Genomic DNA, 2,133 nt, shown 5'->3' with positions numbered 1-2,133 from the left:
AGTGTTACAAATCAGTGGGAAAAGGAAAGACTAGTCAGTCAATGGTGTGGGACACTTGGCTATCCATTTGGAAGTTAATAAAAGTGGATACATCCTTGTGTCAAGCCATATACAAAAAAAAGTGAATTCCATATGAATTTAAAACATTAATCTGAAAAGCAAACTTTTTAAACATTTAGAAAAGATTCTAAATTAGGGGAAATATCTTTGTGACATTGGGAGAGGAAGACATAAAAAACCAAAACCCATAAAGAAAAACTTTTTGAATAGAATATGCCTAAAAATATTAAACAAAAGGTTTGATATATTTGACTACATGACAAAAAGAAAATGTTAGAATGACAAAATAAAACATAAAGTTAACACTTCACAAATTTGCATATCATCCTTGCACAGACAGGGGCCATGCTAATCTTCTCTGTATCGTTCCAATTTTAGTGTATGTGCTGCAAAAGTGAGCACAAAACATAAAGTTAACACATGAGTGAGAGACCAGAAAAGATGTTTGCAATGTGTATGACAAATAATAGGTTAGTATCCAAAATATGTAAATAACCATGACGTTTGTTTGAGTGCAGAGTCTCAATTCACAGGGAAGGAATATGAAGCTGTCTACCTAATACCCAATAAGGGAGCAGTTGGTAAGGCGTATAAGAAGCATGCAAAACTGATGATGGAGTATCTCGCCAATTGTGATGAATGTTACATTACAGAAATTGAGATGCAATTGAATGAGAAAGGGGAATTTACAATTGAACCCGAAGGGAAAACATTTCGGCTAACAAAAGATGTGGCCAAACGTGATGAGATTCCAGAGAACACTCTGTGTGGAAGAAGTTGTTCTGAATGTAACTGAACCCTCCTTCAGCCTGTGCAGGATTATGTATATGGTATTTGAACATATATTCCATGTAAGAGAAGGAGATGAACAGAGAACATTCCTCAGTTTCCCTGCTATAGTCACTCTATTCAAATGTTACGCCCTCTCACTGAGCCAAAACCATTCATGCCATTTATCAAGGAATTATCGGAAGCCCTGACCAGGCACAGGTTGTCTCACAAAGTAGATGATTCCTCTGGGTCAATTGGGAGACACTATGCCAGGACTGATGAGATTGGTGTGTCTTTCAGTGTCACCATTGACTTTAACACAATGAACAAGACCCCCCACAATGCAACTCTGAGAGACTGAGATGCAATGTGACAGATAACAGCAGAGGTCTCTGAGCTGCCTAGCATAGTCCGAGATCTGACCAGTGGCAGCATCATATGGGCCAATGTGGTGGCCAGGTATCCTCTCTTTGCAGAGCAATGATACAGGAGGTAGAAAGAAATTATTTAGGCAGATTTAGTTAGAAAGAAATTATTTAGGCAGATAGTGAGGGCAAACGAGTCCTTAGCAGAGCTTCCCTTCAAACAAAAAGCAGCCCAAAAAATCATTTCTTTCCCAACAAAGAGCAGCCTGAAAAATCAAGCTGCAAATATAGATAAGCAAGCTGGAAGCTTGCACAGGGGAATGCCAGCAGCTGTACCAATAAGAAAGGGCTACCTGGGGGCTAGGCGTGTGCACCATGGAAGCTCCATCTTCCCTTTTTTGTTAGCACATGTACAGTAAGAAAAAAATGGGCAACATGGCACAGCTCAGGCAGGGAACCCACTTGCATAATAGAAGATTGGCATGGGGGCGGCCAGAGATTTGTGCCATAGGCAAATGGCACACCTGGTCCTAACCAGATTTTTGCACCCTATGTAAATCAGACACCACCTCCCCACTAGCTCATCTATAAAAACCCCTGCATTTTGCTGTGGACCAGCAACCTATTTTTTCAGGACTACTCTGTGTAGCAGAGAGCTATTCTTTTTCTTTTCCCAATTAAATTTCCGCTCTTAACCTCACTCATTGTGTGTCCGCATCCTTGATCTCCATGGCTGTGAGACAACAAACCTCAAGTATTTTCCCAGACAATGAGGCCACTTCAACAAGAGACTGGTAAAAAAAAGAGACAATCAAGGAATAAGGACAATTTTTGGCGACGTGCATTAATTGAATAAATAACACATCATATCCACTTTATAAAAGAGAACAGCATTGTGATTACTCCCAGTAACTGTATTCTATCTTCAGTGGCTGTC

General features: G+C 39.9%; 2 pseudogenes; one reads left to right on the top strand and one right to left on the bottom strand.

Annotated features, from left to right (window-relative positions):
- Nucleotides 362-462, bottom strand: RNU6-1249P (RNA, U6 small nuclear 1249, pseudogene; annotated as a pseudogene).
- On the top strand, nt 622-1,318 carry GARS1P1 (glycyl-tRNA synthetase 1 pseudogene 1; annotated as a pseudogene).

This window comes from Homo sapiens, chromosome 17 (assembly GCF_000001405.40).
Source record: "Homo sapiens chromosome 17, GRCh38.p14 Primary Assembly".
Lineage (NCBI taxonomy): Eukaryota > Metazoa > Chordata > Mammalia > Primates > Hominidae > Homo > Homo sapiens.
This window is presented reverse-complemented; position numbering and strand designations above follow the sequence as displayed.